The following is a 21,179-nucleotide window of genomic DNA, read 5'->3' as shown; positions in this document are numbered from 1 at the left end:
CAGTAGTAAGGAATAACTGGAAGACGGCAGAGGTAATAATGATAAACATGAGCAATGACAAATAAATTGAATTTTTGTGTCCCAGTGGGTCTGAAAAGCATTCTGGCCCCACACTAATACTCCTAGAATTTCATATCTTTCACTATATTTCACCCCAAGGAAACTCAGCATTTCTACTGTAACAGATAATCTGTATTATTTCTTCTTGACTCTCTGAAATCCCCAAATTAAATATGAACCTTTTCTAAGAAACAAAATTTGTCTTGACCTCCTTCTTCTTGGAAATGGGCTTGATCTTATAAAATCCAAATTGCAAACAAAAAAAAAGAATGGTTAACTGATTGAATTTTAAGATTAAAGGCACATTGGGGGGTCACAATCCAACTGATATAAAATTGGGGACTGGAGAGGTCAAATGACTTGCTCATCATTACAATGTATGGGGAAAGGCTAGAACCCAAGTCTCCCAGAACTAAATTCATTGTTTTTCTCCTATCATCCCACACTGCTTAGAAAGCTAACAGTTCATGGCTAGATTTCTAAGAGCTCAGCTGATAGGTATCAAGATCCTTGGCTGTCCTCATCAACGCAGTACTGGTGACACAGTATTTATGCATAGGGAACAATAATTTTATGATCAAAAAAACAAAATTATGCCTCAATTCTTTAAAAGCTTGAACAACCTATCAATGTCTGAATTGCCTCCTTGACCAGGCATGATTCTTCATTGCCATGGGAAGAATTCTTAATCTAAGGTGCTTTATCTAGAGCCCCAAGAATGGTGTTGAGGGGAATCCATGAATCTCAAATTAAATGGAAAATGTTATGTTAATGTGTATTTTTCTGAGACTAATGGCCAGTTTTCATCAGATTCTCACATCTTTCTCCTTAAAATATTGGGAATCACTAACCTAATACAATTATTCCCTCTCTTTCTTATGCTTCTTATGAATTTTACAGTGTTCCATTTTACACTTCCATTCTCCTAAAAGTGCTTTATATGATATTAGAATTAGTTAAATAATATTTTTCAAGATTTTAAAAAACACTCAGACTTCTACTAGAAAGCTGCAAGTCCTGGATAGTAATTACTGGCAAAGTGTCTCGTGGCCCTGGGTACTGCCAATAACTGTAGTTGACAGAACTATTTTAAAAAGTACCTTCTTAATAATGAAACAGACCCTAAACTTGACTCAGTTTAAAAGAGAAGCTCCAAAGATGAGATTTTCATGATCTTCCTTCTTCACCCGAAATCCACTTTATAAAATACTGACTTAAAAAAAAAAAAAAACTTTAAGATGAGGCTGACTATATCCAGAATGGTAAGATCCTGAAATATATAAGCCATTGCTATTAAGCATTAAGATATAAGGGCCCTCTTTAGTAGAAAGCTGGGTTACTGTATAGTTGAAACCTAACTATCCATCATAAACATCTTCAATACATTTGAAATAGCAGGGCGGACAGGTTCTCTCACATTGAGGGTCATTTATGAAGCAATCAAAGCCTGTAGTGGGAAAAAGAAGTATGAGGAGGGACAGGGCTTTATAGAATGAATAACTTTTCTCATTCTCAGTATTTCTTACGTTCTTTCACAACAAATTGCTTGGCTTTTGAGAACAGACTCATAAAAGAAGTGAAATATATTTTTCTATCCTGAATCTGAACTTTTTTTAATATATAAAGTTGTAATGACCCTTTCCAAACAATATGAGCCAACACTTCAAAAATTTCCATTGTTTCAAAGACACAAATTACTTTGTGCATCTATGTCTATCAAATGAATGAGGAAGGAAAACACATGAAAGTCATCTGAAAGACAACATCTCCTAGGAGTTATGCTTGGAAGCTGGAAAAGCCCAGTAATCCCCCTACCTAGATAAATAGAGTTTTCCAAATGACTAGGGGGATCAACAGTGGAGCAGGGCCAAGCATTTGAATGTTATAAAGGAGACTCCGTATTAGACCTTGGGGAGAGAATCCAACATTGAGCTCCTTTATGGCTGGCCGACCTCTCTAAGACACAGCCCTACCTTGAGTGGAGAGGAACCAAAATAAAACAATATCTTCAAGCAATTTACACACAATTGAAATGGAATTTCTCCAAGCTCAGAAAATTTGAAGTTTATTCAGTCCATATGCTATCCCATCCCTTCCCTTTTAACAAGTAACTTAGAGACAGGGAGCCATTTCTTAGTCATTCTAGATCAAAATCCCTCCTCCCTTAACTCCAAATCATTAGTGACAGTAACGGTGCATCATTTGGAATATTTGGGGGGGGTTATTTTTTCCTCCTAATAAGAAACTCACTGGCTGCATTTTTATAAATGTCTCAGGAGCCCTACTCAACTCTTCTTCCATTAGCAGCAAACATGAGGCACATGATTTGACCCAGCACTGAATTCCCAAAAGCAGGATTTAGGGAAGCTGACAATAACTCAATCGAGTGATTATCAATCACAGAAGATAGTATTCTGGAGGAGAAAAGATATCGCACAGAGTATTTTTCTCATTAAGAAAATAAGCTTTTGAAGTAGTATACATCACTTTCACTACATAAGTCAAAATTCATACATGTACAGAGAAGATGATATAGCAAGGTCAAGTCAGAAAAACCCTATGTCAAATACTACCTTTGCCAACTGATCCTGTGCAAGTTACTGGTAATGATAATAATACCACCTAGCTCATAGGGTAGTTGAGATAATTGGGATAATACACGTAAAGCATTGAACACAATGTATAGCACATGATAAGTACTCAATAGATGTTAGATAAGCTATTGTTATTATTAAATTTTTTATTACCAAAATTTAATACCAAATTACCAATGGAAAGCAAGTCCCTAATGTTTCTTTCCTTGATTCTGCCTATAATTCTATTTTTGTATATAAAAATTCCCTTATTTGCACCTTTGTTTCCACCCAGAAAAAACAAAACAAAACAAAACAAAAACTCTTTTCCCTGGGGAAGGCAGGTACTAGAACCACACAGAACACTGTGAGAGTATCCATTATTCCCATTGGTATCTCAAGAATTGGATTGTTCTGAACCCTTTCATTCTCTCCTTGCATCTTCCATGGTTGTTCCCAAGGGGTCAAATTAACTTACAACAAAATCAGTGTCCCTGTTTCCTCACTTTAAGAAGAAGAGTCAGAATTCCCAGGCCAAAGAAGTCCCTTTGAGCAGCTCGGAGGCATCTCAGACCAACAGGCAAGAAAGAGCAGCCATCCATGGGACAAATAAGTGATTTGCATTTCCAAGGATGTGGGGAAACATATTAGTTATAATTAGCAAACACGCAGAGTCCCCGTGACAGCTTCACTTTACAAACCCTTGAATGTTTGACAAGAAAAGGTCATGTTTTGTAAAATCCTCAAAAGGTCATTCAATAACAAATCACATGAATGAAATCGCAAGGGTTCAGGGAGGTTAACAGAAACACCCCAGGCAGCAAAGTGCGTTTTCAAGGTAAACAAGGAAAGAGGGAAAGCAGCCTTGGCTCAGCTCTGGAAGAGGAGAAATACAAGCAATCTCTAATTTACCAAACACTATAATTTCAAGACATTTTCTCTGCACTTGGTGGTTTAACAGTGAATGCTATTTCTCATGTTCAGCACACTTGAAGGATTAGTAGATCATAGCCCAGCAACATTTCAACATTTCTTCAAAAGGTCCAGGCAGAACTTAGCCCAGGCTTTCTTTTAGATTTTTTATTTGATAAATCTCATGGGTGGATTCCACTTAATACAAATAGGTGGTCACATGCATGGCATGGCATACACGTCCCTGTGGATGGTCTTCATGCAGTATACCCCACACTACCCCTGCCCCACAAACCCCAAATCTGGGAACTTTAGCCCCAGAAGCCTTTTCTTCTGGCACTTTGACCTGCTCATGACCTCTTTCTTCCCAGGTCTATTTTCCTCTTCAACAAGAGCCAGCACCACATCTCTCACAGTCAGGAATAACAAAGGCTTGTTTATATAGGGTAATTTAGCTACAGGATCAGTGGCAAGAGGAGGATGATGTATCTGATCCACAGGTCAAAAGCACAATTCAGAAGTGCAGGGCTGCCAGGTTTAAGGGAGGGCTCCCTAGGGGACAGGGCCAATGGACTGACCACCTTCCAGAAAGTACAGCCAAGGCAAGCGAAATGGGGAGCATCCTCTAAGCTGTTTCAGATTTGGGCATGCCCTTCACACGCAAGGTGTTGGATGTTAAGACAAAGAATGCTGTGGAAAGAAGATGCAGGAGCCTGAGGCCAAGCAGATGGGTAGCACAGACTTACTTGGGGGGAAAAAGGTGTCATCCATCAGAGCCCTTGGAAAAGGAGACAGCATCTTAAGAAAAGACACTGGCAGACCTAGTGCCTGACTTACTCTGTGACCTTAAGTAAAGTAATTTGATCTTCCTAGGCCTTGGTTTTCCCATCTGTAAAATGGGTTATACTTATTCTTGCTTACTGCCCTGGGTAAGGTCAGGGTATAACAAAGTAAGAAGTAACTAGAGAAAGCTATGGATTATTTTACACCAGGAAGGGCTTGCAGTGCAAGTCCTGACTCTTGTCACCACTCATTTCTACATCCTACTCCAGCCTCAGAATCTTATGGAGAAACCACTCTCTAGGGTCCTGCTCTCCCCATTATGGTAGCCACATGTGGCTATTTCAATGTTAATTAAAAGCAAATAAAATTTAAAATTCGGTTCCTCAGTCACAGTACCCACATTTGAAGTGCTCGATATCTATATGTGGCTAGTGGCTACCATATTGGACACTGCAGATGTAGAACATTTCCATCATCACAGAAAGGTCTGCTGGGCAGCGCAGCTTGGATCTACATGCTATGGATGGAGGACAGCCCTGCCAACCTTTTACCTTCTACTACCCGCCGTCTCCATGGACATCCTGCTTTGCCCCAGCTGCCTGCAATCCATACTCACCATAAGACCATCCTCCAGACACAGCCCTGACTGATGGTTTCCAGCATGTACCTCTCACCCTACAATTACCTGTGGACCATAAAGCCCTCACCAGCTTGGCGGCTGTTTGATCCGAATGACGGTCAGAACCAGGACACCTCACTTAGTCTTTCTTGCCAGCGATTTTAGCTTATTTGCCATGAGTACAGGGTATAATTAATATCACACAGGAGCCAGCATTGTCATTTTTCAAATCATTTCCCTGGAAATGTTCTACACCTCTTAATGGCCCTGCTAATGCTGTAGCTGTCATGTTTTGGACAGCTGCACTTTTACAAGACAAACTCTGTAGCGCCAGGAGACTCTCTGCAGACTTTTTAGCTCAGAGGCTCAGAGGCCGTGAACGCCAGCCGGTAATGGCTAGATGGAAATCTTAGATTAATTTTTTTACCTCTTGGTGCTGACTGCTCCTCAAGTGTCACCTTCCCATTTCCATCCCCAGCCACCTCTCCCCTTCTTGGCCTCTTCCCTTGCCCCTGCCCCCACCTCCTCTCCTCTTTGCCACCTGATGGACAAGGAATGCACAAAATCAGCGGAAATCATACAACTGATTAAAGCCTGGACACTCTGTCCAAAGGTGCAAAGGCTTAAACATCTAGACAGAAGCCCAGGTGCTTTGCTAAATGCCACATACATTGAAAAAGTAAGGCCCTTCATGTCTATTTGATTTTATTTTTCAGAAATATGCTTTTTTGCCCCCTCCATAACTTCTTAGCAAAAGGTTCAAATTTCTCTATATACTAGGTATGCGTAAGAAAGACCGCGGAAGGAGGAGAACGAAAGGAGTTACATATGAAGCCTCGCAGGAGTCGTACGCGAGGCAAGCAAAGACGATCTGAACCACACCAAATATTTACTATAGAATGAAGATGCTTTTAAACAAATGGAGAAATTCACCAGATTGTTTTGGGTAGTAACAGAGCATTTTCCTGATGCTTTTTTTTTTTCTTTAAATAATTGAAGTAGAAGGAGATGTCATGGACAGCTCTCTCAGAAAACATACTACATCGTCCAGCACTGTCCAGGAAAGCCCTCTCAGCTGAGGCCTTCTGTCTTAAAAGAGAGGTAAGGCCAGGCTAGGGACACGACGACTCTCTTTTTTAGGCTAAACAGCATCAACCCACTGCTTCTTTAATATTGTGTTTATTAGCGAGCCATAGCCCAGGGAGAGACGAGCACACAGCTTCCTTTCACGCTGCGTCTGCAAAATGCTACCGAAAGTTGGACTCATCAGTGAAGCAGCAGGTCCCTTGGTTGAAACCAGCCAGGCCAGAAAAGTGACATGAACAGGATGCTGCTAAACATGCACAATTCGAAAATACACACTGTATTCTCTTCTGCATGATTTGCTGCCATTTAAAAGACAATAAACAGCAACTTTAGATTGCTAACAACGTGTCATTTAAGGTTTGCTGTTGCTCAACATCAAGAAAAATCAATGCCGGCTCTACGGGGGCAGCAAACCCCGAGAACTGAGCTCCATTTCAGGTCTGTTTGAACTCATTTCCTCTCTCCATGGCTGCCCCCTTGTACTCCCCCTCAGGCGTCCCCTCGCAGCAGGCTGACAGCTTGACACATTGACAGCTCCCACTGAATGACAACTGATTTGTACAAATTTCAAGCCTTATAAATCTACCTGTCACAACAACAACATAAAAGCGCCCAGGCCCAGCAGGTAATTCAGAAAAAGCTTCCCTTGACAGCACTTTCTGAAAAGCAATGGCGTGCCTCCTGCCAAAAATTCCAACTATCATCCTTGTATAACTTTGAATAAAAATTCAGGGCCCATTTTCTTGCCAACAGGCTACCAATCGTCTTATTTAAAGATTAAAAAAAGTGAATGGGAGAGAGGGGGATAAAACATCCCCACAGTTTCATTTTAGACTGATATGAAAGTCACACCACCTGCTACGCCAGGATTACCACACCTTTTTTCTCTCCCGTGCTCACAAGGAGTAAATGAGGGAGGCTTTTTACGGTATTTAAACAATATCCCAGATTGCAGGGGCTGTGCCTCCCAGTCCCCTCCTGGCTCACCTGGGGCCAGTCCAGCTAACAAAGCAAGATGTTTAGACTGGTGGGGGACTGGGTGGAGTGGGCAGGGGTCTGAGGCCACTGGCCATTGTTTTAACTACCCTCAAGATTTCTCCAAAACAAAAGCCCTGCATGTGTCCATAGCCCCACCTCCCAGACCACTTTTCTTACTAAAAATGATCACGTTACATCAAGGTATTCGTTCATCAGATACTCATTTCATTCAAATCAACAGCAGACCACATGATGTCATCACTGCATCTTTATTACAAAAGAAGGACTGGAGTTGAGAATTTGGAGATGATTTTTAGGCATGGTTTTGTAATTAAGTGGACCCCTGGAAAAACAAACAAACAAACAAAAACTCTCTAGCCAAATAAGGAACACGGGACTCAAAGAGAGAAAGCAAGGGGAAAGGGAGAGGGGGAGAGGGAGAAAAAGAAACTAAGTACATGAGCCCTTAAACAGGAAAGAGCAGTTTACAAAAAAAAAAAAAAAGAAAGAAAGAAAGAAAAAGAAAACCTCTTTATCTCTACTATTCAAGCCCCACCAATTCCACTTACTGTGGAGGAATGTGCAGCTTAAAAGTAACTGGCACAATTTCTCATGTATCACATTTGCTCATGTAAAGTCACTCAGATTTGTTAAAGGATATAGAATCCCAGCTAGATATGAGAGTAAGTTCCAGTGTTCTATAGCACTGCAGGATGACTACGGTTAGCAATAATACATAGTTTCAAATAGCTAGAAGGAGGACGTTGCATGTTCCCAACACAAAGGATGATCAATGTTCAAGATGATGGATATGCTAATTACCCTGAGCTGATGATCACTAGACATATGTGCTAAAACATCACTATGTACCCCATAAACATGTACAATTATTATATGTCATTTTAAAAAAAAAAAAATCTCAGTAGACTCAGATGGAAAAATGAACTTGGTGTTTTGCCTTTGAGGGTTTGTTGTAAGTGCACGTTGAATGGATGTGTTGCTAAGGAGACTCCTAGGAAGAAAACATGGACCAAGGATGAGGGCAAAGTGACTGGCCATCCAACTAACTGGACAAACTCAGAAGCAACAATGGTGCCAACAAAGCATCCTGTCACAGTCACCTTCACTCCTCAGCAGGAGCAAACGTAAGGGCGGAGAGTGCAGATACCAGGACTGGACATTTTCGTTTTAAATCCTGGCTTTTTTACTTAGGAGCTATGTAACATTGGGCAAGTGATATTTATACTCTCTGCTTCAGTTTCACCACCTGTCATGTAGGGATCATAATCATATCTACCTTGGAAAGTATGTGGGTGAAATGCCTGTAAAAATTTAAGTTTACAGTAAACAGTATCTTCATTTATTCATTCACATAGATAATACACACAGATACATACACACATATACACATGCAAACAAACATACAACACTAGAAGTGATGACTGCTATAGCGAAAAAAAGCAGATCATCATATTATCATCACATTATTAGTACTCTCCAAGATTCCAGATATAATTACTTTTTTCTCATAGAATATAAGCTTCCAGTATAGTAAAAAGAAAAAAATGAAGAGAATCATCTCTGAAAATGTGGTAACCTACTTGGTTAAGACATACAGATCAGAGATCAATGTAGCTGGACTGAATGTCTTTCCTATGCTATCTTTTATGAATTTATTTCCTAGTCTTTTCAACTTGCTTCTTCATTATGACTAAGGAAACCATCTAGTTTGTGTTAAAAATATATATATTAATTTAAAAGCATATAATTTGCTTTTAAATTATCATTCTTAATTTTAAATTTTCACTCTTAATTTCTGAGTGATAACACCACTTATCACTCAGAAATACTATTAATATGTGGATTATAAAATTATAATTATATATATTATAATTATATGTGGATTATAAAATACATACTCATAATATACATACTAATATATAAACATACATAAATATGTATATATAAAGAGAGAGAAGACTCTGGCCCAAAACATAGCTGTCAGTATTAGATGGCTAATTTAAGATTTAGAGAAAAGAATAGAATGTCTATAAACCCAACTGAACTCTAAAATTTAGATGAGATTAGGATTATCCAAATTAGATGAGCTGAGATCCACCTGGTAACATTCTTGTTATTATCCTTCTCAGTTTGGTTAATGTCAAGACTGACATGAGCTGACTGAACTTCAATTGCAACAGGGAACCACACTCAGCAAATCCATCATTTTGTAATTATTTGTATGACCAAAAGTGAGTGCTTTGATTATGGGCCATTAGTAAATAAAATCAGGTTGGAATTTCACAAGCATGTTTGGATTTCAAAAGATTTGTATTTCATGCTCAAAAGTCAAAATCAAACAAAATTTTCACATAATAAAATTGATAAAGCATAAGCCAAAACAACTACATAGTGAACCTTTACATAATGAGATAGAGGAAGAAACAAACAACTACCTATAAAATTGATAAGAGAAAGATAATTTACATAAACTAAATCAGCCTTTTTCATCTTTCATCAATATATAGTGAACATATGCAAACAGATGAGGCATGGATAGGAAAAAACAGGGAGTCTCACCTAAAGTTCATCTTCAAGCCAACATTCACCCAGAACAAGTACATTAGATCATTCCTATGTTAACCCTTCTCTATTCAACAGCATGTGTTTGGCCTAACAAAATGATGAATAATATTTTTGTTAACTATTGCCTTCCAGACATCAGTCACTGAGATTTAACAAACGCTGTCTCGCATATGCTAGGATCCCCCCTACTATGACCAATTAAATAACAAATCATTCAGTGGAGAACTTCAGGGCTGACAAAGGCATATTAAGTACAGTGCTGGTTGGTTACAGCTACACTGGCCCATTGAGAGTTTGCTCAGAAGAAAATACAGGACACTTTCAATTGCAAACCATATGATGCCTTATGTGTATTTTGTATTTATATTTGTGTAACTACTTGTTTCCCAAGAAGAAAAGGCAGCACTTTGAAATATACCTGTGAAGTTCTTTTTTCCTGAAAGGCCCCTCACTGAGCAGCTTGTTTCTCCATTTCAATAAGGGCTAAACCTGGGACCTCAAAATGTTGTCCACCTGTTGGCCATCAGCCCACAGAGGCTGACAGGCTTCAGACCCAAAGTGGTATTCCCTGGTGGCCTAGGAGAAAGCACCAACTACCGTTCACTGAGCAAATGCTAGGCCTCTGAGCAGCATCCCGGTCCCCCAGAGCTGGGCCCTCTGGTTCAGGGCAGCCCTGCTGAGCTCTCTCAGTGTGCTCTTCCTTAGCCCATCAACAGGGGCACCCGGGGCACCCTGATGCTACATTTTCGGTCTTCCAATCAACACTTTGAGAAGAGTGGCCAGGTTTCCATGGCCCAGGGATCTGTCTACATTTACTGGGACAAAAGGACCAACTTCACCCAATCTTACTCACAGAACAACTGGTCAAAAGGTGTTTTTCTACCACCTGAGATCAGATGTCAAGCACACACTGCAGGGCACCAGGCAAGGTTGAGGATCATCCCGCGGCAGCAGCAGCTCCTTTTACGGGAAAAGTCAAGGGTCTGGGGCTGGAAGCCGCTTGGCCAGGCACCCCTCTCTCAGGCTGACGGCCACCGAGAGTCCAGGCATGGCTTGTCTGGCGCCCCCAAGGGGCAAGGCGGGAGAGCTGGCCAGGAAATAAGGGCGACAGGATCCACATAGCCCCTGACGTGAACTTCCATGGAATCAGTAAATTTTTACCACTTAGGACAAGCCATGTTATTTGTAACTGTCAGAGGAAGGAAAATCTGTAATTGTTAAGGGGGATGAAGCCTGTGCAAATTCTTTCCTGTGCAAAGTGAACAGTCAATCACTTTTATAAGGACAGCAACAACTGAAACTATCCATTCGTATACTTTTCTTTAGTCAACAATATTACCTTTAGTAATCTGGGGAATGTGCATCCATAAATTACAGAAAGTGTTATTGCATTGCTGAATAAACAGCAACATTTCCATCAGCAGCAGCAGTGGCAGCCCCACAAAGGTATAACAAACAGACTCAATCATTTTCTTGTCAAGCTTTGCAATGACTGCAGAGTTTACTGCTGGAGATAATGTTGCTTTCCTCAGCATTGTGTGCCAAACTGCAAACTGCTTATTAAAACAAAACCTCTTTTTCGGAGCAGCATGAGTTGGATAATCACTTATTGCACTCAAGAAAAAACAGGTTTGGTGCCCAGAGGAGGTTAACAATCAGGCATATGTGTTAACATTTGGTTGGTAAAAACTGGTTAAAAAATAAATTATCCAACGTTGGGATGGGGGAGGGAATGAGCTAACTTATTAACATCGCTGCCCCCAGGTTGACTCTTTTCCGCATGACATCATTCCGTTTTTTGACAATGTGTTTCAAAGTGCTCAACTGGCCGGCTTGACAGAACCTTTGGCATGGGTGTTCAGCAGAGAGGAGGAGGGGGTGGAGATGATTATGGAAGGAAACCAGAAATGAAATGCAGCCTGCTAGTCTCCATGAGAGGAAATCTCTGGAAGAAACTCGACTCCAGGCATAGGAGATAAGACTGAAGAAAAGGACAGGAGGGAAGCAAGTAGACTTTAAAACTAGGCATCTGTGACTAAACTATTTCTGAAGACAGCACCTATTATTACTCTTTGAAGAAATCGCTTGACATAACTAAGCCAGCAATAGCACTGAAAAACCATCCTCAATTTTCCTCGCTTAAAATAGATTGACAGCCATTTTACCGAGACTGAGGAACAGGAGAGCTGAGCCGAAGCCTGGGGGGCTGCCGCGTCAGACGCGGCTCCGCGAGGAAACCCGTTATGCCCGACGACGGTAGAGCTGCCCAGTGCTGCTTGGTGGTTTTTTCTGTTCATACCCATTACCGATGAATTAATATCAAAGGAGGTGACCCTCTCCCCTCGCCCCCGCCTCCGCCGTCCCGATGCCACGGATAGCCTTGCCGTCCCAGATCTCCGCGGTGGAGGAGGAAAGCCTATACTTTGCACGTCCTCTCAGAACAGGAAATGAGACTGTGAAGACTTTATTACAACTTCGGGCAGCAGATGAGGTTTGACTCCTATCGCTGCCCTAAAGTGAGAAGAAGAAAAAACACAAACAGACAAACAAAAAGCGCCACGCGTCTAGGGTAGAAATCAACTCCAGTAACTGTCATTCAACCTCAGCAATGCTGGGGACGGGCAGAGGCAGGGCAGCTGTGTACCACATTCCTGCCAGGGCTGGTCAGGCCCCGGCTCTCACCACTCCTCCTCCCTGCTTTGAACCTGTGGAACAAAGGGCCCTTGCACCCCAGCTCATTCCTCTTTGCCACATCAGGGCCTCAAGTCATGCTGTCCCCTCTGCCTGGGTTGCTTTTTCTCCCTCTGCTTGGGTCACTGTTCACACCACTGGCCACTTTCCTCAGGGAAGGGCCCTCACTGCCCACACACCTAAACATGCCCCCTGCTCCTCCATACCACCCCCACCATCTCCTGACACTGCACTTCTTTTGACTTTTCACAGAGAAGAGTAAATCTCACCTGAGATTCTCATTTATGAATTGACTGATACGTTTTTCACCCCTCTCCTCCACCAGAAGGTAAACTCCACCAAAGCAAAGATTCTGTTGTACTCAGAGCAATATCCCCAGCACCTAGAACTGTGCCTGGCCCTATAAATATTTGATAAATTACTTAAAAATTATCCCACAGTTTCAGAGAAAATATCCTTATAAACACAAATCAGAGACCTCTGTCAGACTTGACCCATGGTTTCTGAGTGCAAATGAGGATTCCCGATTACGGGGAGAACTGCGAGGAAACTTCAAGATGACATCTTTATTCTCACATCTCCAAGAACATGCAGAAAGAAGTTACTGCTCTTATACTGAGGGTAAGCATAGAAATTTGGGCTTTGTTTGTTTAAAGTACAAAGACGAAGGAAACTGCTCATGACCTAAAATAAAAAGACCTCAGGAAGGAGTTAGAAAGCCTGGACTTAAGACCCACCTCTGCCACCAGATATACCTGGGGCACATCAGTCACTTGGGGTACATTTGTACAACCGTGAGGATACAAAGCCTTGCCCCATCTGTTTTTAACTGCTATTTCTATTGTGCAATTACTAAAACAAAGAAATAAGAATACCCTATCCATGTACCCACCCAACTTTGTCAAGTCTTAACATGTTGAGCCATATTTGCATCAGATTATGGGGTGGGGGGGCAGTCTTCATTTTGTTTTTTGGCTTTTTGGTTTTGTAGAGATGATGTCTCACTGTGTTGCCCAGGCTGGTCTGGCCTCAAGCGATCTTCCTGCCTAAAGTGTTGGGATTATAGGCATGAGCCACCATGCCCAGCTCCAGATTGTCTTTTAAGAAACAAAACACAAAACTATAGAAAGAAATGACTGCTGACCTGGCGCGGTGGCTCATGCCTGTAATCCCAGCACTTTGAGAGGCCGAGGTGGGCAGATCACATGGTCAAGAGTTTGAAATCAGCCTGGCCAACATGGTGAAACCCCATCTACTAAAAATAGAAAAATTTGCCGGGTGTGGTGGTGCACACCTGTAATCCCAGCTGCAGGAGGCTGAGGCAGGAGAACCACTTGAACCCGGGAGGCAGAATTGCAGTGAGATGAGATTATGCCACTGCACTCCAACCTGGGTGACAGCAAGATTCCATCTCAAAAAAAAAAAAAAAAAAAAAAAAAAAAAAAAAAAAAAAAAAGACTATTTTATTGTGAGAGTTAGGAGTTAGGTACATCTCAAGTCTTAAAAAAAATATTTAAGGCATTATTAAATGCCATATATTATAATAGCTACCAACTTCCAAGGCATTTGTTATCAAGTCTCACATCTCCTACCAGCATTTTAATTCTCTTTTCACTCCTCTTCCATGTCCCGCACTGTGATTTCTTTTTGTTCATTTCTCCTCATCTCCTATCTGACTCCCCAACTGTTTTCACAGTTGAGTCAGATGATGTCATATACCAAATTAAATTCCAAATAACAAAACTTTTTTTAAGGAAACCATAAAAGTACTAGAAGAAAGCCAGAAATTCCATTTACCATAATGAAAAATCCAAAACCCATAAGATAAAAGATAATGAATTCAATTGCATAAAAATCAGCTTCCGGCTGGGTGTGGTGGCTCATGCCTGTAATCCCAGAACTTTGGGAGGCTGAGGCCAGAAAACTGCTTGAGCCCAGGAGTTCAAGACCAGCCTAGGCAACTTAGTGAGACCCCCACCTATAGAAAAAATAAAAAATTAGCCAGGTGTGATAGCACATGCCTGTCGTCCCAGCTACTTTGGAGGCTGAGGGGAAGGATTACCTGAGCCCAAGAGGTCAAGGCTGCAGTGAGCCCTGATTGTACCACTGCACTCCAGCCTGGGCAACAGAGTGAGACCCTATCTTCAAAAAAAAAAAAAAAATCATCATCTTCAGATAAAGCAAAATTTTTGCATGACAAATCAGAAAATAAAGCAAACAAAAAGCCACTAAAAATGAATAACCAAAAATGTGAACCCAAAAATGTGAACAAGTTTACCATTCAATCACATAAAAAGGACCAGTTACATACCCATAGAGTACACACATGCACAAACAAAATTAAACACACACCAAAAAATACACATATATACACAAAGAGCTCCAAAAACTCTCTCTCTCTCTCTATATATATATATTTTTTTTAGACAGGGTCTCTATCTCCCAGGCTGGAGTACACTGGCATGATCTCAGCTCACTGCAACCTCTGCCTCCTGGGCTCAAGAGATCCTCCCACCTCAGCCTCCTGAGTAGCTGGGACTATAGGCTCATACTAACACTCACAGCTAATTTTTGTTTTGTTTTTGTTTTTTTGTAGAGATGGGAGTTTCACCATGTTGCCCAGGATAGTCTTGAACTCCTGAGCTTAAGCAGTCCGCCTGCCTCAGCCACCAAAATTGCTGGGATTACAGGCCTGAGCCACCACATCCAGCCAAAAACAATTTTAGAAAGACAAAAACCCAAAGAAAAATGGGCAAAGGATATGATCATGTAGTTCACAGAAAAGGAAATACAAACACCTATTAAATATATAATAGAATACTTAATCTCATTCATAATAAGAGAAATGCAAATTAAACACTAAGAAAACATTCTTTTACCTATCATATTGGCCCAAATCCAAAAGTTTAATAACATGCTCTGTTGGTGATGCGGTGGAAAAACAAGCATGTCCCTAACATTGCTGGTGAGAGTACAAATTAGTTCAGCTCCTGAGGAGTACAATTTGGCAATCTCTATCAAAATTACAAATGCATATTCCCTTTGACCCAATAAGTCAATTTCTGGGAATTTATCCTACAGACATACTTGCAAACATTCAAAAATGACAGTTTAAGGTAACTCACTACAGCTCTAATAGTGAATGGAAGAAAACAAGCACAATGTCCATCAACAGGGATTGAATAAACAAATTAGGATAAATCCATAAAATGTAACACTATATACCTATAAAATTTTAATGAGGAAGCTCTCTATGTGTGGAATGGGAAGGTATTTTTGTTATGCAAAAAAGCAAGGGCACAAATAATAAGAAAAGAATGATATCTTTTTTATAAATGACAAAGACATAATCTATATTTAATATGCTTGCTTATACATATAAAATTTTAGAAACTCTGAAAAAATACAAAAGAAACTAGTAATAGTTACCTTTAGGGGTTGTCATGGAAACAGGGAAGATAGGGAACAGAATGGGAGGAAAACTTTTCATAATCTTTCATCTCTCTTAATTTTCAAATCATATGGGAGTATTACCTATTCAAAAAATGAAACTGATAAACAATAAATAAATAAACCTCCACTCACAGAGTGCTAGGATATTTTAAAAGTCAAAAAAGCGCAATTGAGTTAGACCTGCATGCCCAAAATAGGGAAGAGAAGGCTGTGAATGGGAAGGAACTCACATGGACCAGGCAAGAATACAGCAGGGGTGGGGAAGTTTCTATGCATTTTGGACTTAGACTGAAAGGAAAATTACACAACTTAACATATACAACCCAGCATGCTTTTGACAAAAGGACTACAAGCCCCTCGTTGGCCCCTTTTCTTTCTTGGCCATTCCTTCACTTTCTGGAGGTCATGGTAGCACATTTCCCAAGTCCTCTTGTTTTCTGCCTTTGCTCCAGTCCTCCCTGCTGTGTCTTGCTCACCTCCCTCCTCCCAGCTCCAGCACTCTGTTCTATATTGTAACAAACCTCTCTCACTTCACACCTCTGATATCCCACAACTCACTTGTAACCTCATTCAACCTTCCTTCTCTCAGATCTTGCTGGCTTCACAGCAGGTGAAGCATGGTGCCCCCTTGAGATTATCAGTGAACAAAAGAACCAGATCAAAGGGAAACAGGGTCCAGTTTCACCAAGAAAATATAAGCAAGAATCCTTTATCATTTCTCTTTATCCAGCATTCAGTTGTGCAAAAAGAGGCCTTGGACACAAGATTTTAGGGGTTATACAAGAAACAACCATCACGCACTGCCTCTTTAAGATTTCCAGCTCTGCCCACTGTCCCAGTGAAGGGGTGAGCCTGAAGGGACACACTGGAACCAGTCAGTCATGCTCCCGACCTTGGCTGATTGGACCAGGGATCGACAGGCACTCTACTGAAGGGTGGCCATCCATAGGGACCAGCACTCTATCACGTTAGATTGGGGCCACCCATCTTCCAGCTTCTCACAGTATCTTTGGATCCCAATTCTGTCATTCAAAGTTACTGATTCTAGATTCTTTCCAGGTTCAAGTTATCTAAAGGTTTGACCAGTACGTCATCAACTGCCATAGTCGCAGCAACCCTCATAGAGCCACGGACAGAGGACCACAGTATCCCATTAGAGAATAAAGATATGCCATTTAGTCTATCCATTTTATAATACACAGCCTTTTAAATACAGTTTTCTGGATTACATGTATATAAAAGATGGGTTAGCAAAGTGCTGTTAAATACATGCATTTAAAGACTTCAATTAAAAGATAACAATGCATTTTTCTCAGCATATTATTTCTTTTAAGAAGCCTCTAGAATACTCAATAGGTTCCCTGAAACAGAAAAAAAACAAAAACAAAAACAAACAAACAAAAAAACGCAACCCTGGATATTATAATGCATTGTGAATATCCTTTTCAACCCACTACCAAAAGCTACTATGAATGTAAATTTCTGTTTAGCCTAAATGCATACCAAGTTCTATATTGATGGAATCCAAATGAATGAGATTTTATTATAGATGAAATATAAATACTGGATTATCTGACACCACACACACAAAATCAACTCAAAATAGATTGAAATGTAAGAGCCAAGACTGTAAAACTCCTAGAAGAAAACACCGAGGAAAGGCTTCTTGACATTGGTCTCAGCAATGATGTCATGGATATGACACCAAAAGCACAGGCAACAAAAAGAAAAATAAACAAGTGGGACTGCATCAGACTAATACACTTCTGCACAGCAAAGAAATCAATCAACAGAGTAAAAAGGCAACTTATAGAATGGGAGAAAATATTTGCAAACCATATGCCTGATAAGAGGTTAATCTCCAAAATATATAAGCAACTCCTACAACTGAATAGTTAAAAAAAAAAACCTAATAACCCAATTACAAAATGGACTAAGAACTTGAATAGACATTTCTCCAAAGACAGCATATAAATGACCAATGAAAAAAAAATGCTCAATGTCACTAACCATCAGGGAAATGCAAATCAAAACCATGAGTTATCACCTCATACCTGTCAGGATGGCTATTATCAAAAAAACAAAAGACAGGCCAGACACAGTGCCTCATGTCTGTACTCCCAGCACTTTCAGAGGCCAAGGCAGGTGAATTGCTTGAGCTCAGGACAACACGGTGAAGCCCTATCTCTAGAAAACATACAAAAATTAGCCAGGCATGGTGGCGCATACCTGTGGTCCCAGCTACTTGGGAGGCTGAGGTGGGAGACTCCCTTGAGCCCAGGAGGCAGAGGCTGCAGTAAGCTGTGATCACACCACTGCACTCCAGCCTGGGTGACAGAGTGAGATCCTGTCTCTAATTTAAAAAAAAAAAAAAAAAAAAAAAAAGACGTGTTGGTGAAGATGTGAAGAAATGGAACCCTTGCACAGTGTTAGTGGGCATGCAAAACTGTATAGCTTCTATGGAAAAAGGTATAGAAGTTCCTCAAAAAATGAAACATAGAACTATCATATGATCCAGCAATCCAACTTCTGGGTATTTTATCCAAAATATTAATAACTGAAATCAGGATCTTGAAGGGATACATTAGCACTCTTATGTTCATTGCAGCAGTATTCACAATAGCCAAGATGTGGAAACCACCTAAATGTCAATCAACAGATGGATAAAGAAAACATGGTATATACATACAATAGACTACTACCCACCCTTAAAAAAAAGGGAGGAAATTCTGCAATATGCAACAACATGGATGAACCTTGAGGACATTATGCTAAATGAAATAAGTCAATCACAGAAAAAAGAAGACTGCATGATTCCACTTATGTGAAGTATCTAACAGTCAAGTTCATAGAATCAAAGAGTTGAATAGTGGTTGCCAGGGGATGAGGGGAGAAGGAAATGAGAAGTTATTAATCAATGGGCATAAAGTTTCAGTTAAGAAGGATGAATAAGCTCTAGAGATCTGCTGCACAACACTGTATCTACAATCAACAATAATGTATTGCACACCTAAAAATTTAAGAGGGTAGATGTCATGTTAAATGTTCTTACCACAATAAAATAAAATGTATAAATAAATAAATAAATAGTGCCAAGTGTATGACATAAGTAGAAGTTTCATCCCTGTTGGTAAAAACACAAATTGACAGAACTACTTTGGAAAACTGTTGAGTGGTATCTACTAACACTGACCATGCACATACTTTATGACCCAGTAATTCCGCTCCTCAGCATGTACCCAATGGACATGGGTACATTCACCAAAAGACAGACAAGAATGTTCATAACAACATTATTCAAAATAACCAAAAACTGCAAACAACCCAAATTTCCAGATTAGCTTTTTAAAATTTTGCATATCCAAACAATGGGACACTGTATAGCAATGAGAATGCCCAAACCATTGCTACATTAACATGGATAAATCCAACAGATATTGTGTTGAACAAATGAAGCAAGGACATTTTGAGCAATATGCTATATGATTCCATTTACACAAAGTTTTAACAGGGGCAAAACTAACTTCTGCTGCTAGAGGACAGGACAGTGTGCAGCTGCCCTTGGTGAGAGAAAGGGTACAAGCGGTGACTGGGACCAGCAAGAGGAGAGGTCTCTGGTTCTGGGTGCCAGGAATATTCTATATCCTAACCTGAATAGTGATGACACTGCTGTGTTCACTTTGTGATAATTAATCGAGCTGGACACTTCGGATTTGTGCACTTTTTTGGATGTATGTTCTATGTCAGCAAAAACATTTATTTTAAAACATTTAGGAAAAAATGTCTGCAATTAGTCTTCAAAGCATCAGGTACCTGAACTGCTGCCCCAAAGTTAGAGGGACCCTTAATTCCTATCATTAGCTCCTGACATGTCCAAATGATTCTTTGGCTACTTGTTAATAATGGAATCAAAAGGCACTAATCTCATTATCGCCTGTCAGCAAGCACTGTCAGAATGCTGTTGGCCATTAGTTGCCTGCTGCTACAGTCAGTGACTTGCAAAGCACCCAAAAGGAGACAAAAAATTACCCACAGTTTAGTTTTTCTGTCTCATATATCTTTCACCACCCCATGCCAAATCCTTCACAGCCTAAACCACATGCTACCTTCTTCAAGAGACCACCCCAGACCTCACTAGCCCAACAAAACTCCTATTCTCTGAATGATTTCTGCATTTATTCATTCACTCATCTACCCATCCACACATCCACCTAAACATTCACTGAGCACCCACCATGCACCAGGCTGTGTCCTCAAAATACAAATTGAGTAAAACATAATTCCTTTCCTGAAGGTGGTCATGTTATTGTATGGGGAAAAAGACACAAAAAAAGGCTTAGAATGATAGACACATACATGGAGAGCAGTAGAAACACAGGAGAGGAACACGTAAGCCAGTTTTTTCTAGGGGGGAGGTAGAATAAGGAGACGATTCCTAGCAGAGGTTACTCAAGCAATATGCCATGAGGAATGAGTAGAAACTGGCCAGTCAAGTGAAGATGCAGGCAGCTCCTAGCCTAGGGAACATCATGAGTAAAAGCACAGAAGCAATAAAAGGCCTATGGGGAGCAGGGGGTGGCAGGGGAAGGGGCTAGCTGTGGGAAAAAGCAGCCCATATTGTCTTAGAGTAAAGTCTGAATGAGGGCAGGGAAGAACAGGCGAAAAACAGATCACACAGGTCCTTGCGAACCACGTGAAGGACATGAGACTTCCTCCCAGAGAGGAAGGACAGTCCCTATGGGGGGGCTGGGAAGGGGAATGACCACATCAAGTCTGTCATCAAGGAACTGTGTGGGAGACACAACTGAGGGCAGAAGAGGCAGGGAGGCATCAACCATAGGCCTGCTAAAACAGGAGGACAGCCTGAACCAGAACACCTCGAGTGGGGATGAAGAGGAGACTAATTCAAGAACTGTTTAGGTGGTAAAATTGGGACTTAATGACTGATTTGGTGCAATGTGAGACTGGGGAAGGAGAAAGAGAAGTTGATGAGAACTGACGGATGGGTGACAGCAATTGAAAAAAATACAAGAGGAGGAGAAAGCTGATGGTGGGCAGGAGGAAAGGCAGTGAGGTCAGCATTAGAGGTTGATAGAGTTTGGATATTTGTCACCACTAAATCTCATGTTGAATTGTAATCCCCAATACTGGAGGTGAGGCCTGATAGGACATGATTGGATCATGGGGACGGTTTTTAATGGTTTAGCACCGTCTTCCTTGGTCACAATAGTGAATGAGTTCTCATGAGAGTTGATCATTTAGAAGTATGTAGCAGCTACCCCTTCTCTCTCTCTTCCTTCTGCTCCCAGCCATGTGAAATTCTGGCTCCTCCTTTGCCTTGCACTATGATTGGAAGGTTCCTGAAGCCTCCCCAGAAATGGAAGCTGCTGTGCTTCCTGCACAGCCTGCAGAACTGTGAGCCAATTAAACCTCTTTTC

The 21,179-nt window shown here is 40.8% G+C and overlaps 1 protein-coding gene across 1 annotated transcript in view, besides 2 other annotated features; it reads right to left on the bottom strand.

The window, feature by feature from the left end:
- The window catches only part of LRMDA (leucine rich melanocyte differentiation associated), a 1,128,545-nt gene that overhangs the window by 955,698 nt on the left and 151,668 nt on the right, over positions 1 to 21,179 (bottom strand). The window lies entirely within an intron of this gene.
- Positions 3,659 to 4,238: an enhancer, noted in NCBI's record as "NANOG hESC enhancer chr10:77359991-77360570 (GRCh37/hg19 assembly coordinates)". NCBI's record gives its function as "activates a minimal SCP1, AML or CMV promoter by ChIP-STARR-seq in naive H9 embryonic stem cells {active_cell/tissue: H9 hESC(naive)}" and the evidence as "EXISTENCE:reporter gene assay evidence [ECO:0000049][PMID:30033119]".
- Positions 6,501 to 7,327: an enhancer, noted in NCBI's record as "NANOG-H3K4me1 hESC enhancer chr10:77356902-77357728 (GRCh37/hg19 assembly coordinates)". NCBI's record gives its function as "activates a minimal SCP1, AML or CMV promoter by ChIP-STARR-seq in naive H9 embryonic stem cells {active_cell/tissue: H9 hESC(naive)}" and the evidence as "EXISTENCE:reporter gene assay evidence [ECO:0000049][PMID:30033119]".

Source organism: Homo sapiens, chromosome 10 (assembly GCF_000001405.40).
Source record: "Homo sapiens chromosome 10, GRCh38.p14 Primary Assembly".
In the NCBI taxonomy this organism is placed as follows: Eukaryota; Metazoa; Chordata; class Mammalia; order Primates; family Hominidae; genus Homo; species Homo sapiens.
The sequence above is the reverse complement of the archived record's forward strand: the minus strand, read 5'-3'. Positions and strand labels throughout refer to the sequence as shown.